The sequence below is a fragment of the Homo sapiens genome, chromosome 12 (assembly GCF_000001405.40).
Source record: "Homo sapiens chromosome 12, GRCh38.p14 Primary Assembly".
Lineage (NCBI taxonomy): Eukaryota > Metazoa > Chordata > Mammalia > Primates > Hominidae > Homo > Homo sapiens.
This window is the reverse complement of record NC_000012.12, coordinates 117613865-117631303: the sequence shown is the minus strand read 5'-3', so window position 1 is coordinate 117631303 and position 17439 is coordinate 117613865. Positions and strand designations below refer to the sequence as shown.

At 40.4% G+C, this 17439-nt stretch overlaps 1 protein-coding gene across 7 annotated transcripts in view, besides 2 other annotated features; it reads left to right on the top strand.

Moving 5' to 3' along the window:
• The window catches only part of KSR2 (kinase suppressor of ras 2), a 515979-nt gene that overhangs the window by 337687 nt on the left and 160853 nt on the right, over positions 1-17439 (top strand). The window lies entirely within an intron of this gene.
• Positions 1816-2316: an enhancer, noted in NCBI's record as "H3K4me1 hESC enhancer chr12:118066793-118067293 (GRCh37/hg19 assembly coordinates)". NCBI's record gives its function as "activates a minimal SCP1, AML or CMV promoter by ChIP-STARR-seq in naive H9 embryonic stem cells {active_cell/tissue: H9 hESC(naive)}" and the evidence as "EXISTENCE:reporter gene assay evidence [ECO:0000049][PMID:30033119]".
• Positions 2317-2817: an enhancer, noted in NCBI's record as "H3K4me1 hESC enhancer chr12:118066292-118066792 (GRCh37/hg19 assembly coordinates)". NCBI's record gives its function as "activates a minimal SCP1, AML or CMV promoter by ChIP-STARR-seq in naive and primed H9 embryonic stem cells {active_cell/tissue: H9 hESC(naive and primed)}" and the evidence as "EXISTENCE:reporter gene assay evidence [ECO:0000049][PMID:30033119]".

The following is a 17439-nucleotide window of genomic DNA, read 5'->3' as shown; positions in this document are numbered from 1 at the left end:
TTAGAGGCAGAATCTCACTCTGTTGCCCAGGCTGGAGTACAGTGGAGTGATCATAGCTTGCTGCAGCCTCAAACACCTGGGCTCAAGTGATCCTCCCATTTCAACCTCTCAAGTAGCTGGGATTACAGGTACAGGCCACTATGCCTGGCTAATTTAAAAAAGTTTTCTTGTAGAGACAGAGTTTCACTGTTTCCCAGGCTGGTCTTGAGCTCCTGGCCTCAGCCTCCCAAAGTGTTGGGACTATGGGTGTGAGCCAGCACGCCTGGCTTACTCAACAAATATTTACTGAGAATCTTATTCTACAGCCCGTCTCTTGTCAGCCTGGGGAGCATTTTTACTTCTCACAGAGCTCATTGGCTTGGATTGTGAATCCTCAGGTCTTTGGAGAATCTATACCCACAGGAAACAGTACCATTGTCCTTTATCAGCAGGGTTCCTGCTTTTTGCAGAAGATGTAACCCCGGTCCCCAGTTTCTCTACCCATCAATACCACTCATTGGTACCACTCATTGGTCCCAATCTCTTTCATCCATTCAATGACTGCAACTCCCAGAGAACCTTGCGTCCCTACCCTCTGCCAATTTGCATTTCCTAATTAGCTCTCAAATCACTTCTCTCCATCCACCTTTCCACTGCTGGGTCAGAACCATCACCACCGCCCACAGTCTCCTAACTCCTCGTTTCCCTTTGCCTTCTTCCAATTCATTCCCCACTCTGCAGACAACGAGATCTTTGAAAAGGCAAATCCGATCAGGTAGCCCCTGTTTATAATCCTTCCATGGCTGTACAAAACTCAGTCCTTGGCACACTAGGCTCTGTGTGCACTAGTGCCTACATCTCCAGCTTCATTTTGTACCATATCTCCCCCAACCTTCCAACCCCTCTTCCTTTACACATGCACACACATGTGCACACACACATACACATGCACACACACACACACATTTTCTTCCTTTCCTCCCCTACTGGCATTCTTCATACCACCATATTGTCTTCAACCCCAGGGCTTTTGCACATGCTGTTCTCTCTGCCTAGAACACAATTGAGCATCGAGCACCTACAGTATGTGTCATCTGTTGGCCTGCAGTTTGGTAGATAAGTGTTTCCGCAAATGAGAATCACTGGGCTGCTGAGAGACGTCGCTAGTGGGAGGACATTAGGCATGTGCAACACCTGTTCCTTAGACCCCAGGGATTTTTCTTCTTCCTCTGCGGGGGAAGGAATCCAAAGCCACTTGAGAATGGTCCTGTTGGCCTGTCCATGAGCACTCCCATGACCCACTTCTGCATGAGTCCAGCAGGCTGAACAACAAAGCAGATGGCAGCATCCTTGGTAAAGCTGCTGGCAGGCCACTTGGTAGGGGACTTGCTGTTGCTTGTTTTGCTAAAGGTTGAATGATGGGAGTAGACTTTATGGAGGATATGTACAACTCTTCTTGTTATGCCAGAATTAGTCTTTGGGTGATGCCAGAGCTGCATTATTTTAACTTCTCATTGAACTACTTCCACAGACTTACACATTGGTTCTTATATTCTTCACTATCAATTAAAGGACATTTTAAGACAATTCCAAGAGTTGTTGAGGATGTTGATTGCTATAGTAACTAGTGTCCTATTGAGGACATATAGGAGTAATTTATTTCTGATGTCAGGAACAGGAAGAGTTCTGATTCTCATGCACTCTTGTTTTGCAGATTATGGAACTAGTGACTGAGTCAGATAACTGCTGTGTTTTCCTTTTTGCTGTGATCACGAGGAAACTCAAAATCAAATCTGTGACCAACTTATTGCAATTGTCAGCATAGATTTTGTGTTCTTTTCTCCCGTTTGGTTTCACATGTTTTTCTTACTCTTGTTTCCTTCTTGTCCAGTTTTCTCATTAGACCACAAAAAACACCTTTTTTTTCTGTAATGTATGAATGTAAGCAGTTTTAAGTATATTCTGACATAAACCAAAGGCATAGAAAGCATTCCAAGATGGCCAAATAGGAACAGCTCTGGTCTGCAGCTCCCAGCATGATCGACGCAGAAGACGGTGATTTCTACATTTCCAAATGAGGTACCTGGTTCATCTCATTGGGACTGGTTGGACAGTGGGCACAGCCCATGGAGGGTGAGCCAAAGCAGTGCGGGTCATCAACTCACCTGGGAAGCGCATGGGGTTGGGGGATTTCCCTTTCCTAGCCAAGGGAAGCCATGACAGACTACCTGGAAAAACAGGACACTCCCACCCAAATACTGTGCTTTTCCCAAGGTCTTAGCAACTGGCAGACAAGGTGATTCTCTCCCATGCCTGGCTTGGTGGCTCCCATGCCCATGGAGCCTTGCTCACTGCTAGCGCAGCAGTCCGAGATCGATCTGCCAGACAGCAGCCTGGCTAGGGGAGGGGCAGCCACCATTGCTAAAGCTTGAGTAGGTAAACAAAGCAGCTGGGAAGCTCGAACTGGGCGGAGCCCACAGCAGCTCAACAAGGCCTACTGCCTCTAGACTCCACCTCTGTGGGCAGGGCGTAGCTGAACAAAAGGCAGCAGACAACTCCTGCAGACTTAAATGTCCCTGTCTGACAGCTCTGAAGAGAGCGGTGGTTCTCCCAGCATGGCGTTTGAGCTCTGAGAACAGACAGACTGCCTCCTCAAGTGGGTCCCTGACTCCCGTGTAGCCTAACTGGGAGGCACCTCCCAGTAGGGGACAACAGACATCTCATATAGGTGGCTCCCCCTCTGGGACGAAGCTTCCAGAGGAAGGATCAGGCAGCAATATTTGCTGTTCTGCAGCCTCTGCTGGTGATACCCAGGCAAACAGGGTCTGGAGTAGAACTCTAGCAAACTCCAACAGACCTGCAGCTGAGGGACCTGACTATTAGAAGGAAAACTAAAAAACAGAAAGGAATAGCATAAACATCAACAAAAAGGTCATCTACACCAAAACCCCATCTGTAGGTCACCAACACCAAAGACCAAAGGTAGATAAAACCACAAAGATGGGGAGAAACCAGAGCAGAAAAGCTGAAAATTCTAAAAATCAGAGCGCCTCTTCTCCTCCAAAGGATTGCAGCTCCTCACCAGCAACGGAACAAAGCTGGACAGAGAATGACTTTGACGAGTTAACAGAAGTAGGCTTCAGAAGGTCAGTAATAAACTCTGAGCTAAAGGAGGATGTTCGAATCCACCACAAGGAAGCTAAAAACCTTGAAAAAAGATTAGATGAATGGCTAACTAGAATAAACAGCATAGAGAAGACCTTAAATGACCTGATGGAGCTGAAAACCATGGCACGAGAACTTCGTGACGCGTGCACAAACTTCAATAGCTGATTCGATCAAGTGGAAGAAAGGGTATCAGTGATTGAAGATCAAATTAATGAAATAAAGCAAGAAAACAAGGTTAGAGAAAAAAGAGTAAAAAGAAATGAACAAAGCCTCCAAGAAATATGGGACTATGTGAATAGACCAAATCTACGTTTGATTGGTGTACCTGAGAGTGATGCAGAGAATGGAACCAAGTTGGAAAACACTCTTCAGTATATTATCCAGGAGAACTTCTCCAACATAGCAAGGCAGGCCAACATTCAAATTCAGGAAACACAGAGAACACCACAAAGATACTCCTTGAGAAGGGCAACCCCAAGACACATAATTGTCAGATTCACCAAGGTTGAAATGAAGGAAAAAGTGTTAAGGGCAGCCAGAGAGAAAGGTCAGGTTACCCACAAAGGGAAGCCCATCAGACTAACAGTGGATCTCTCAGCAGAAACCCTACAAGCCAGAAGAGAGTGGGGGCCAATGTTCAACATTCTTAAAGAAAAGAATTTTCAACCCAGAATTTCATATCCAGCCAAACTAGACTTCATAAGTGAAGGAGAAATAAAATCCTTTACGGACAAGTAAATGCTGAGAGATTTTGTCACCACCAGGCCTGCCTTACAAGAGTTCCTGAAGGAAGCACTAAACATGGAAAGAAGTAACTGGTACCAGCCACTGCAAAAACATGCCAAATTATAAAGACCACTAATGCTAGGAAGAAACTACATCAATTAATGGGCAAAATAACCAGTGAACATCATAATGACAGGATCAAATTCACACATAACAATATTAACCTTAAATGTAAATGGGCTAAATGCCCCAATTAAAAGACACAGACTGGCAAATTGGATAAAGAGTCAAGACCCATCAGTGTGCTGTATTCAGGAGACCCATATCACGTGTAAAGACGCACATAGGCTCAAAATAAAGGGATGGAGGAAGATCTACCAAGCAAATGGAAAGCAAAAAAAAAAAGCAGGGGTTGCAATCCTGGTTTCTGATAAAACAGACTTTAAACCAACAAAGATCAAAAGAAGCCCATTACATAATGGTAAAGGGATCAATTTAACAAGAAGAGCTAACTATCCTAAATTTATATGCACCCAATACAGGAGCACCTAGATTCATAAAGCAAGTCCTTAGAGACCTACAAAGAGACTTAGGTTCCCACACAATAATAATGGGAGACTGTAACACCCCACTGTCAATATTAGGCAGATCAATGAGACAGAAGGTTACCAAGGATATCCAGGACCTGAACTCAGATCTGCAACAAGCAGGCCAAATAGACATCTTCATAACTCTCCACCCCAAATCAACAGAGTATACATTCTTCTCAGCACCACATCGCACTTATTCTAAAATTGATCACATAATTGGAAGTAAAGCACTCCTTAGCAAATGTAAAAGAACAGAAATCACAACAAACTGTCTCTCAGACGACAGTGCAATCAAATTAGAACTCAGGATTAAGAAACTCACTCAAAACTGCACAACTACATGGAAACTGAACAACTTGCTCCTGAATGACTACTGGGTAGATAACAAAATGAAGGCAGAAATAAAGATGTTCTTTGAAACCAATGAGAACAAAGACACAAGGTACCAGAATCTCTGGGACACATTTAAAGCAATGTGTAGAGGGAAATTTATAGCACTAAATGCCCACAAGAGAAAGCAGGAAAGATCTAAAATCAACACCCCAACATCACAATTAAAAGAACTAGAGAAGCACGAGTAAACAAATTCAAAAGCTAGCAGAAGACAAGAAATAACTAAGATCAGAGCAGAACTGAAAGAGATAGAGACACAAAAAACCCGTCAAAAAAATCAGTGAATCTAGGAGCTGGTTTTTTGAAAAGATCAACAAAATAGATAGACTGCTAGCAAGACTAATAAAGAAGAAAAGAGAGAAGAATCAAATAGATGCAATAAAAAAGTGATAAAGGGGATATCACCACCGATCCCACAGAAATACAAACTACCATCAGAGAATATTATAAACACCTCTACGCAAATAAACTAGGAAATCTAGAAGAAATGGATAAATTCCTGGACACATATACCCTCCCAAGTCTAAACCAGGAAGAAATTGAATCTCTGAATAGACTAATAACAGGCTCTGAAATTGAGGCAATAATTAATAGCCTACCAACCAAAAAAGTCCAGGACCAGATGGATTCACAGCCAAATTCTGCTAGAGGTACAAAGATGAGCTGGTACCATTCCTTCTGAAACTATTCCAATCAATAGAAAAAGAGGGAATCCTCCCTAACTCATTTTATGAGGCCAACATCATCCTGATACCAAAGCCTGGCAGAGACACAACAAAAAAAGAAAATTTTAGACCAATATCCCTGATGAACATCAATGCGAAAATCCTCAATAAAATACTGGCAAACCAAATCCAGCAGCACATCAAAAAGCTTGTCCACCACGATTAAGTCGGCTTCATCCCGGAGATGTGAGGCTGGTTCAACATATGCAAATCAATAAATGCAATCCATCACATAAGCAGAACCCATGACAAAAACCACATGATTATCTCAATAGATGTAGAAAAGGCCTTTGACAAAATTCAACAGCCCTTCATGCTAAAAACTCTCAATAAACTAGGTAATGATGGGACGTATCTCAAAATAATAAGAGCTATTTATGACAAACCCACAGCCAATATCATACTGAGTGGGCAAAAACTGGAAGCATTCCCTTTGAAAACTGGCACAAGTCAGGGATGCCCTCTCTCACCACTTCTATTCAACATAGTGTTGGAAGTTCTGGCCAGAGCAATTAGGCAAGAGAAAGAAATAAAGGGTATTCAATTAGGAAATGAGGAAGTCAAATTGTCCGTGTTTGCAGATGACATGATTGTATATTAGAAAACCCCATCGCCTCAGCCCAAAATCTCCTAAGCTGATAATCCACCTCAGCAAAGTCTCAGGATACAAAATCAACGTGCAAAAATCACAAGCATTCCTATACACCATTAACAGACAAACGGAGAGCCAAATCATGAATGAACTCCCATTCACAATTGCTACAAAGAGAATAAAATACCTAGGAATCCAACTTACAACGGATGTGAAGGACCTCTTCAAGGAGAACTATAAACCACTGCTCAGTGAAATAAAAGATGACACAAACAAATGGAAGAATATTCCATGCTCATGGATAGGAAGAATCAATATCATGAAAATGGCCATGCTGCCCAAAGATTCAATGCCATCCCCATCAAGCTACCAATGACTTTCTTCACAGAATTGGAAAAAACTACTTTAAGGTTCATATGGAACCAAAAAATGGCCTGCATTGCCAAGACAATCCTAAGCCAAAAGAACAAAGCTGGAGGCATCACGCTACCTGACTTTAAGCTATCCTACAAGGCTACAGTAACCAAAACAGCATGGTACTGGTACCAAAACAGAGAGATACACCAGTGGGACAGGTCTCAGAAATAACACTACACATCTATAACCATCTAATCTTTGACAAACCTGACAAAAATAAGAAATGGGGAAAGTATTCCGTACTTAATAAATGGTGCTGGGAAAACTGGCTAGCCATATGTAGAAAGCTGAAACTGGATCCCTTACACCTTATACAAAAATTAATTCAAGATGGATTAAAGACTTAAATGTTAGACCTAAAACCATAAAAACCCTAGAAGAAAACCTAGGCAATACATTCAGGACATAGGCATGGGCAAGGACTTCGTGACTAAAACACCAAAAGCAATGGCAACAAAAGCCAAAATAGACAAATGGGATCTAATTAAGCTAAAGAGCTTCTGCACAGCAAAAGAAACTACCATCAGAGTGAACAGGCAACCTACAAAATGGGAGAAAATTTTTGCAATCTACCCATCTGACAAAGGGCTAATATCCAGAATCTACAAAGAGCTCAAACAAATTTACAAGAAAAAACAACCCCATCAAAAAGTGGGCAAAGGATATAAACAGACACTTCTCAAAAGAAGACATCTATGCAACCAACAGACACATGAAAAAATGCTCATCATCACTGGCCATCAGAGAAATGCAAATCAAAACCACAATGAGATACCATCTCACACCAGTTAGAATGGCAGTCATTAGAAAGTCAGGAAACAACAGATGCTAGAGAGGATGTGGAGAAATAGGAACGCTTTTACACTGTTGGTGGGAGAGAAAATTAGTTCAACCATTGTGGAAGACAGTGTGGCGATTCCTCAAGGATCTAGAACTAGAATTACCATTTGACCCAGCAATCCCATTACTGGGTATATACCCAAAGGATTATAAATCATGCTACTATAAAGACACATGCACATGTATGTTTATTGTGGCACTATTCACAATAGCAAAGACTTGGAACCAACCCAAATGTCCATCAATGATAGACTGGATTAAGCAAATGTGGCACATATACACCATGGAATACTATGCAGCCATAAAAAAGGATGAGTTCATGTCCTTTGCAGGGACATGGATTAAGCTGGAAACCATCATTCTCAGCAAACTAGTCACAAGGACAGAAAACCAAACACTGTATGTTCTCACTCATAGGCAGGACCTGACCAATGAGATCACTTGGACACAGGGAGGGAACATCACACACTGGGGCCTATCGGGGTGCGGGGCTGGGGGAGGGATAGCATTAGGAGAAATACCTAATGTAAATGATGAGTTGATGGGTGCAGCAAACCAACAAGTCACATGTATACCTATGTATCAAACCTGCATGTTGTGCACATGTACCCTAGAACTTAAAGTATAATAATTAAAAAAAACCCAAAGGCATAAATAAGTAAATGTATAAATGTGAGATATTGTTATGGAATTTAACTGGTATTCACCTCTGAGTGTTCATTGGTATCTACCATGTGCGAAGCACATTATCAAATTTGCATTATGAAATTTAAAGCAGAGGAAAATGAGGCTCAAAGAGGTGGGGTAGCTTCCTCTGAGCCTCATACCAGCAGCTGGCAGAGTCTGGTTTTCATGTCAGCTCTGACTGTTAATACCTGTGCTTTGAGTCACTACCTTAAACTTCCTCCATTGGAGTGCATGCCTACCTCAATATGCTATAATTTTAGGGCTATTTGTCTTTCTCCCAGACCCAACAATGCATTCCAAGAGGGCAGTATTCATGCTTTCTTCTTATATTTCTTGCATTCAGCACCATATATGGAACATAAAAGAGGTTCAAGAAATATCTATTGAGTGTGTAACAGCTTGGATGGGTTTGGGAAATTATCTCTTCTTATTCCTAAAAGTGGAGTAAATGACATTTCTAAACAATTCAAGATGCTGGAAATCCCATTGAATTGAAGCTTTATGGCACAGAGTGGATCTGGAAGTTTTGTGCAGCAAAATCTCTCCACAAGATTTTGTGTGGAGAATCTCTCCAACCAGTGTGGGTTAGATCTGGTGTTACCTTTGTTTAAGTCAGTGGAAGGTGTTAACATGCACATCCTGCTTGACCTTGTCTTCCAGGGACAGGAAAAAAAAAACCTTGATAACTAAATTGCACAACACTCAAATTGCACAAATAGGCTCATTGAGAATAAGATGCCAGTTGAATAAAGTAACTTTTATTGTCTTATCAAAGAGGTTCTCTGAGATAGACTCTTTCTTTTGCTTTGCAGATGTTTTGAGTACAGAGTCTGTGAAGGCTGATTGTAAATTTCAACAGTGTTGACTCTCTGAGTTCTTGAATTATGTAAAATAAGATGCAGGAAATGATGATTTAATCCTGAGTGAATCACATTCCAAATCCTGGATTCCCAAGAGGATTAGGCAGTTTTCCACCATACTTAAACAAAAAAAAAATATAGAAGTGCAGAGAGATGTAGAGATATGCCTAAAGTCACATTGGGAGTCACTGATGAAAATGGTCTCAAATTCTCCCATCAACTGCCCCATCAAGAGTTTGCCAACTGTTGCCATCCTGCTTGTGAGGTCAAAGCAGTTACATAACTTTCATGTGCTCACTGAGATTATTCCTTAGCTCCCTAAGTTAATGTAATAGGATGTGCAAATGCATCCATAAGGTGCCCATGGAATGTGGATGGTCCCTTTATCTTTCATCCTTTGCAAATTTTTGTTGTGCAGCTACAGCATGGAGCTGTAGGAGACAGTGGTAGAGGTTGGCTTGTGGGGAGAAGGTCTGCATTATGATTATTATTTTTATATTTGGTTTTGAAATTTTTAAAAATATGTTTTATTTTGAAATAATTTTGGGCTCACAAGAAGTTGCAAAAATAGTATAGAGTTCCTATGTACTCTTCACTTAGTTTCTTCCAATGATATTGTCTTACATCATCACTATATATTACCTGAACAAGAAAATGGCATTGGTATAATACCATTAACTAAATTACAAGAGGAGGTCTGTGTTGATGACATGCATTTATATGTGGATGCAATCACTAAATTCTTGCTCTGTACCAGCCCCTTTTCATGCCTATATCATTTAAATCCTTGTAACAACCCTATGAAGCACATACTATATTTATCCTCATGCTACTGATGAGGAGACTGAGGCACAGAGAGGTTAACTAACCTGCCTATGTGAATGCAGCTAGTAAGTCGTGGAGTCAGCCAAAATCATTCCAGATCCTGTGCTTTTAATCTTTCTTCTCTACTGCTGTATTATTCCATTTTCACACTGCTGTAAATAACTGCCAGAGGCTGGATAATTTATAAAGAAAAGAGGTTTAATTGACTCACAGCTCTGCATGGCTGGGGAAGCCTCAGGAAACTTAGTTATGGTGGAAGGGGAAGCAGGCATGTCTTACATGGTGGCAGGTAAGAGAGAGCATGTGAAAGCACAGGAAAAACTACCATTTATAAAACCATCAGATCTCATGAGAATTCATTTGCTATCATGAACAGTATGGAGGAAACCACCCCGATAATCCAGTAATTTTCCCCTCTTGACACGTGGGGATTACAATTCGAGATGAGATTTGGGTGGGGACACAGAGCCAAACCATATCAACTGCCTCCAAATTCAATAATAAAATTCCTTAGAAGTGGAGACTCAGATTATATATCCTCTAATATTCCCACAGTAATTTACAGATGGAAGGGGCTTACTACATGTTTAGGTTTTGTTTTGTATGTATGTAGTGAATATATAAGCAGAATCAATGAAATATGACTAGAATGGTCTCTCCCTGCTTTCCCAGAACTTATTGTTAAGTCTAAGTCATGATAACTAGGAATGGCGTAATCAGAAAAAAAGAAGAATGATAAATACCCACACATTGGTTATTGGTCACAGCTCACAGAGAAGTGTCTTGACCTACATTTGAGCCATGTAAGCAGAGAATGAGTTCACTCTTCCAGTCTTTGCTGCTGATATTGGAGCTAGGGAGAAACCTAATTCATCTCTATCAGGGCACAGATATCTGCTCACTGGGAGCTCTAGAGTGCATAAGCTTCAATAGTGGTAAACTCACAAACTATTTGTGCTGCATGTACTTCCATAATGTCTGTATTTCTTTTTGTTTCCTTTGTGTTTTTCTTCTGTCAGCCATAACACAAATGTGTGGTCCCTAAGCAAACATCAACTAATGGCAGGCAACAGGAGGTCACTCAGAATGGTGTTTGGGGATGGTGAATTGAGATAGAAGCAGGAACTAATATAGGATAAATTTGTTTCAGTTTAACAAATAACTCCTGTATATCCACAATGGGGCAGACCCTTTGCTCACCACCCAGGGTCTAGGAGCCCATGGAATATGACTCTGACTCCCAGGAAGCTCACATATGATGAAGGTGGTTTTGTAGGGAGAAAAAGCTTTTAGACGTGGGTTCAGATCTTGGTGTCCTTATCTTTCACCAGCTGATTAACCTCAGGCAAGTCTTTTAATCTCTCCAATTCTCCATTTTCTCATCTCTAAAGTGAGGCTAATAATACCTACATTAAAGATCAACTATGATAAATTAAAGAAGGCAGATGTAAAAGACCACACACTGTAGGGTTTCGTTTGTTTGAAATATCCAGCAAAGGCAAATATATGGAGACAGATAGTAGATTAATGGTTGTCTGGGGCTAGAGTTGGGAATAGTGAGTAACTTTTGTGCAAAGTGTCTTCTTGGGGAGATGGACATGTTCTAGAATTGGATTTTGATGATGGTCACATTTCTGCAAGTTTACTAAAAATGATTGAATTGTGCACTTAAAATGAGTGAATTTTATATGTACATCATACTTCAATAAAGCTGTCTTTATAAAAAGTATCAATTTTGAGGCTCACATGAGATGATTAATTGGCCTCATATAAGGCATTGTGACATACTGTATATGTGTGTGTTGTTATTAGTATTTTTAACATTGAAAATTAATGTTAAAAATACTAATAACAACACTCACATATACAGTATGTCCCAAATGTCCAACAATGATAGACTGGATTAAGAAAATGTGGCACATATACACCGTGGAATACTATGCAGCCATAAAAAATGATGAATTCATGTCCTTTGTAGGGACATGGATGAAGATGGAAGCCATCATTCTCAGCAAACTATCGCAAGGACAAATAACCAAACACCACATGTTCTCACTTATAGGTGGGACTTGAACGATGAGAACACATGCACACAGGAAGGGGAACATCACACACTGGGGCCTGTTGTGGGGTGGAGGGAGAGGGGAGGGATAGCATTTGGAGATATACCTAATGTTAAATGATGAGTTACTGGGTGCAGCACACCAACATGGCACATGTATACATATGTAACTAACTGGCACGTTGTGCACATGTACCCTAAAACTTAAAGTAGAATAAAAAAAAAAAAAGAAAATTGACTGTTTCCTGTGGCTGACTGCACACAAGAAATGTTGCCAGGAAAGAGCTATTGCACCAGGTTGGTAGCCTGCCCATCTAGCAGACAGCATTGTAGTAATTCTCAAGGTCTCCTAGAAGGTTTCTTGAAGGTGGGAGTTATCTTTGGATCTGTGTCCCCCTAGGGTCCTGCAGAAATTTCTGCTTCCAGAAATGGTGAGTTGTTTTGCTGTAGACCAATCCTCCTACCAAGAATAACTGGAAAAGCTGGATAAAATATATTTTTAAAAATGTTTGAAGGTATTATCAAGCTACCAAGGAAGTGAGGGCTTGAGTGTGGCCACGTATTAGTCCGTTTTCATGCTGCTGATAAAGACATATCCGAGACTGAGTGATTTCTAAAGAAAAAGAGGTTTAATGGACTCATAGTTCCATGTGGCTGGGGAGGCCTCACAATCACGGTGGAAGGTGAAGGGCACGTCTTACATTCTTACATGGTGGCAGACAAGAGAGAATGAGAGAACCAAATGAAAGGGGTTTTCCCTTATAAAACCATCAGATCTTATGAGACTTATTCACTACCATGAGAACAGTATGGGGGAAGCCAACCCCATGATTCAATTATCTCCTACTGGGTCCCTCCCACAACATGAGGGAATTATGGGAGCTACAATTCAAGATGAGATTTGGGGGGTGGGGCACAGCCAAACCATATCAGGCCATGACTCCAGAAAGAAAGGAGGCACAGAGGAAAGAGCCCAAAGTTCAATACTGCATTTCCTCTCAAGATACTTGCTAATTCCAAAATGGCGGCTGAGAGACTAAGAAGCTGAATAGAACTTCCTGCATGTCATGTTGCTGAGGGACAAATGTTGGTGCTCAAGTTCCATCAAGCAGAAGGGGACCTTGGTAAATATCAATGTGTCCAGTAGGGACTCTGAGGGGCTACACTCTGAGAGTAAGGGTAAACTAGAAATAGACCAGTGCTTATAAAAATGAAGTCCAGTATCAAATCTGCTCAATCCTTGATTGAATTAGTGTTATTTTCCTCTTTTCTAACTGCTTGCCAGAAGGAAAATTTAAATCCTCTGTGGAGAAAGATAACATCATCCAGAAACACAAATTATCTCCTCAAATTTTTATGCCCAATTTTAAGAATTCAATAAAAAGTTACCAGAAATATTAGGACATAAAATGACATGACTGAAAACCAGGAGCAAAAATCAGACCCTGAAGAGATCCAGATATTTGAGTTTATTAAACATGGACTTGATCTTCTTTTATCATAATTTAATTTATTCTTAATTCTTGTGTTCTGGGATTTTCCAGAATTGGGAGCTATCTCCTCAACTCGTCTAGGTTTAATCTGGGTTTTTTAAAGCAACACTATTGAGGTATAGTAAATTATACTCATATATAGTTGGATAAGTTTTGGCACGTGCATACACGTTTATAAATGCTACCACAATGAAGAAACAGAACTTCTAATCACCTCAAAATGTTCTCTCATTCCCTGTGCAATCACTTCATCCTCCTAGACCCATCAACTACTTATCTGTCTTCTATCACTATAGATTACTTTACATTTTCTGGAATTTCATATAAATTGCTTCATACAGTATATACTCTTTTGCATCTGGCTTCTTTCATTCAGCATTATGCTGTTGAAATACATCCATGTTGTTGTATTTATCAGTAGTTTGTTATTTTTAATTGCTGTATTTTATTATAAGACATGAACTTTAATTAATATGATTAAGATATATAAGACATTAGATGACTAGATAGAGAATTACAGCAGAGATCTAGAAATTATAAAAAAGTCAAATGAATATTTCAGAACTGAAAAATTCAAAAACTGAAATGAAGAATTCAATACGTGGGTTTAATAGAAGATCAGACACACTTGAAGAGAGAATTAGTGAACTAGCGGAAGGATTAGAAGAAAATACCCAGATTGAAACAAAAAGTAGAGGGAAAGATGGAAAATACTGAAAAGAATGTGTGCAACTCATATAGGACCCATTGAAAAGGTCTTTTTGATTGAGATTCCAGAGGGAGAGGAGAGGAAGAAGGAAGAGAAGCAAAATTTGAAGAGATAGTGATCAAGAATTTTCCAAAAGAGACAAAAGACATCAAGCTTTGGCTTCAAGGAGTGCCTTGAACCCCAAACAAGATGAATGCAAAGGAAACCACATCCACAAACATCTTCATAAAACTGCTAAACCCAGTGCCTTGAAATGAATTTCTGGTTAATGCAGGGCTCCTAGCTTTTGTTCATTACATTAATGCACATATGAATGAATGAATGAACAAAAGAATGAAAGAAAGCAAGGAGAGAAGGAAGAATAAAAAGATGAATCATGGAGCCTGGCTTTCTATCCAAGAATTGCCAGATATTTCAAGTTGTTTCCTAGGAAGCAGAATCTGAGAAAGAAATGAGCATATCAGAAGGTTGTTAGGGAACACTGTTGGAATCAACAACAAGGGGAGTAAAGGAAGCAAGGTTGGGCAGAAGGAGAAGTTGGGCTGTGATACAGTCTCAGTAAAGACCTCATCCAACCTCACAGTGTGCTCAGGAGCTGAGCTGGCAATGCAGAGTTGTTCTGAATTGGGACAAAAGGCACAGGTCTTTATATGACCTCACTGACCAGTATTTAGTAGTGGGCTGACCCCAAGGAGAGAGTGATTTTGGGCAAGGCTGTTTTCTTTAGTCAAGGGCAGGTACTTGGAAGGGATATCTGGATGGTGCCTCACATCTCCAGAGAAAAGAGCAGGCATAGGAACCCAGCATCCCAAGTTCTGTAGCCTTCTGAAGTTATTTAGTTATTGAACAGCCATGCGAAATAACTTAAACTCTCAAATATGTGAATGGAGAAAACGCAATTCCTCATAGGCCTTGTGGGCTGGACAGCTACTTATAGTGACTTTTGCTGATCTTTTTCTTCTCTTTTTTTCCAAATTGATTGATTGAGTCATCATTATTTAAATATTTATAAAAATATTTTCAATTTACTAGGCACTAAAAGTTCCTTCTTTTTAAAATCTGTTTTTTTTTTTTTTCGAGACAGGGTCTCACTCTGTCACCCAGGCTAAAGTGCAGTGGGTGGCATGATTATGGCTCACTGCAGCCTCAACCTCTCAGGATCAAGCAATCCTCCTCCCACCTCAGCCCCCCAAGTATCTGGGACTATGGGCGTGTGCCACCACACCTAGCTAAGTTTTGTGTTTTTTTGTAGTGGTGGGGTTTCACCATATTGCCCAGGGTGGTCTCGAACTTCTGGGCTCAAGTGACCCACCTGTCTCAGCCTCCCAAAGTGCTGGGATCTGTTTAAAATCTGTATGTATTATCTGCTGCATAACAAATTATCTTAAAACTTACTGGCTTAACAAGCAATACACATTTATTATCCCACAGCATCTATGGGTCAGGGATTTTGGAGCAGCTTGGCTGGGCAGTTTTGGATAAGTGTCCCTCATATCCAGTCAGTATGTCGCTTGGGGCTACAGTCTCATCTGAAGGCTTGACCGAGGCCGAAAGGATCCACTTCCAGGATGACACACTCATATGGATGGCAAGTTGGTGCTGGCTTTTGGCAGGAGACCTCAGTTCCTCTCTACATGAATCTTTCTATTGGTCTCCTTGAGTTTCCTTATGACATGGGAGCCCTAGTTTCACAGGAGCTAGTCACCATCTTTTCACATTGCATTGGCTCTCATCTTTGTCACTAGGTGGACATAGTAATAAGCTGATTGTGTCATAGTCATGAGCTTACTGAAGACTGAAGACTTGGAGATGGGTAGGTAATGGGGGCTGGTAGCAAAGAAAACAAAGCATTTAACATTGGTTGGCAGATGTCATCCTTCCTCAAGGTTTGAGCTAATGGGCAAGATTTAACTCCTGTGCCTGAGCTTCCCCAACATCTTTAAAGCACTACACATTTTTCTAGACAAAAGAGGAATCTGATGTGTGTGTGTGTGTGTGTGTGTGTGTGTGTGTGTGTGTGTGTAACTGAAGAGAGAAGGGAACATGCTTCCTCAGGACTCTGAGTGTGTCTTACCAGGAGAAGAGAGTGGGTGCTCACCTCTACCATCTTACAAAGATTCTTGCTCCCAAAGTGGGTAGACTAGACAGGAGAACACCCTAGGGGCCAAGGGTACCCTGGATATCTCCAGTGTGGCTGTGGTGAGAAGAGAAGGGACGGCATCCTAGGTCTCTGAAAGATAGAGCATGGAATAGATTTTCTTTTAAGACAGTTTTTTTCCCTCAACTGCCATCATTATAATCAAATTCAGTCCAAGTCTTAGCACATCAAAAAAGATGTCAGGACAAAAAACAGGGAGCAATTCTTTCCAGGCTCACATATTAATAGAGAGATAACACTCAGAGAATATCAAAGTAAATTCCAGAGGCAATGGTGACATTTCCAGAACAAACATTAGTTAAACACTTATGAACAATCGTCAAAATTATTTCACAGGCGTAAATTAAAAGGCAGTCCTGTAATGTTGATTCATTTTCCTCTCCCCAAGTTTCCACAGCTGAATGCACAAAAGTATGACAGAAAACTATTAAGGGACCTTTCTCCACATGGAGATGTCAATGGCCTCCCCTTTTATCTTCTGTTAGGTTCCTTTTTCAACCAGATTCATCATTTACTCCTAATAGTGATATTAAATTCACATTTTATCAGCTAATGAACTGGAGTTCTGAACAGCCCACCCAGGGAGATATGGTCCAGAAAGTTTCAGAGCACTTTCCATTTAGCCCAAACAAATCCAATCAATTCTTAATTATTCATTTGTATCCTTCCATGTATCTTATCCTTAGAATAAACTTTCTCTAGATTTTAGGACTCACTCCTTATTTAAATTATAAAAAGTAATTTATGCTTATTGCAACAAATTAAAACAATACACAATTATATAAAGTAAAAAGGTCACATTCTGCCACCAGAATATGTCCACTTAGAAACCAGTCTGGGTACATCCTTTTTAAGTTTTTTTCTGTACATATAGTAGTGTTCTATTTATTTAAATAATATGAAAATATGTCTTATTCTTCACCTTGCTTATTATCACCTACCACTATATTAAATATATTTTTTAGTATCAGTACATATATGTATATGGCATTAACAACATGTAATATTTCATACTGTGGATGTACCATCATTTATTTATTTGCTACCCTATTTTGCTGAACTTTTCACTGTCTCAGCACCACAATGGCTTGCATATAGATCTCTGAACATCATGCTAATTGCTTGAGCTTGCCTCAGAATACAGAGCCTGAGGCAAGGATGAAGAGCTAATACATTACTTGGGAGGTACAATTCAAGGGCATGGAAAGTGAAGGA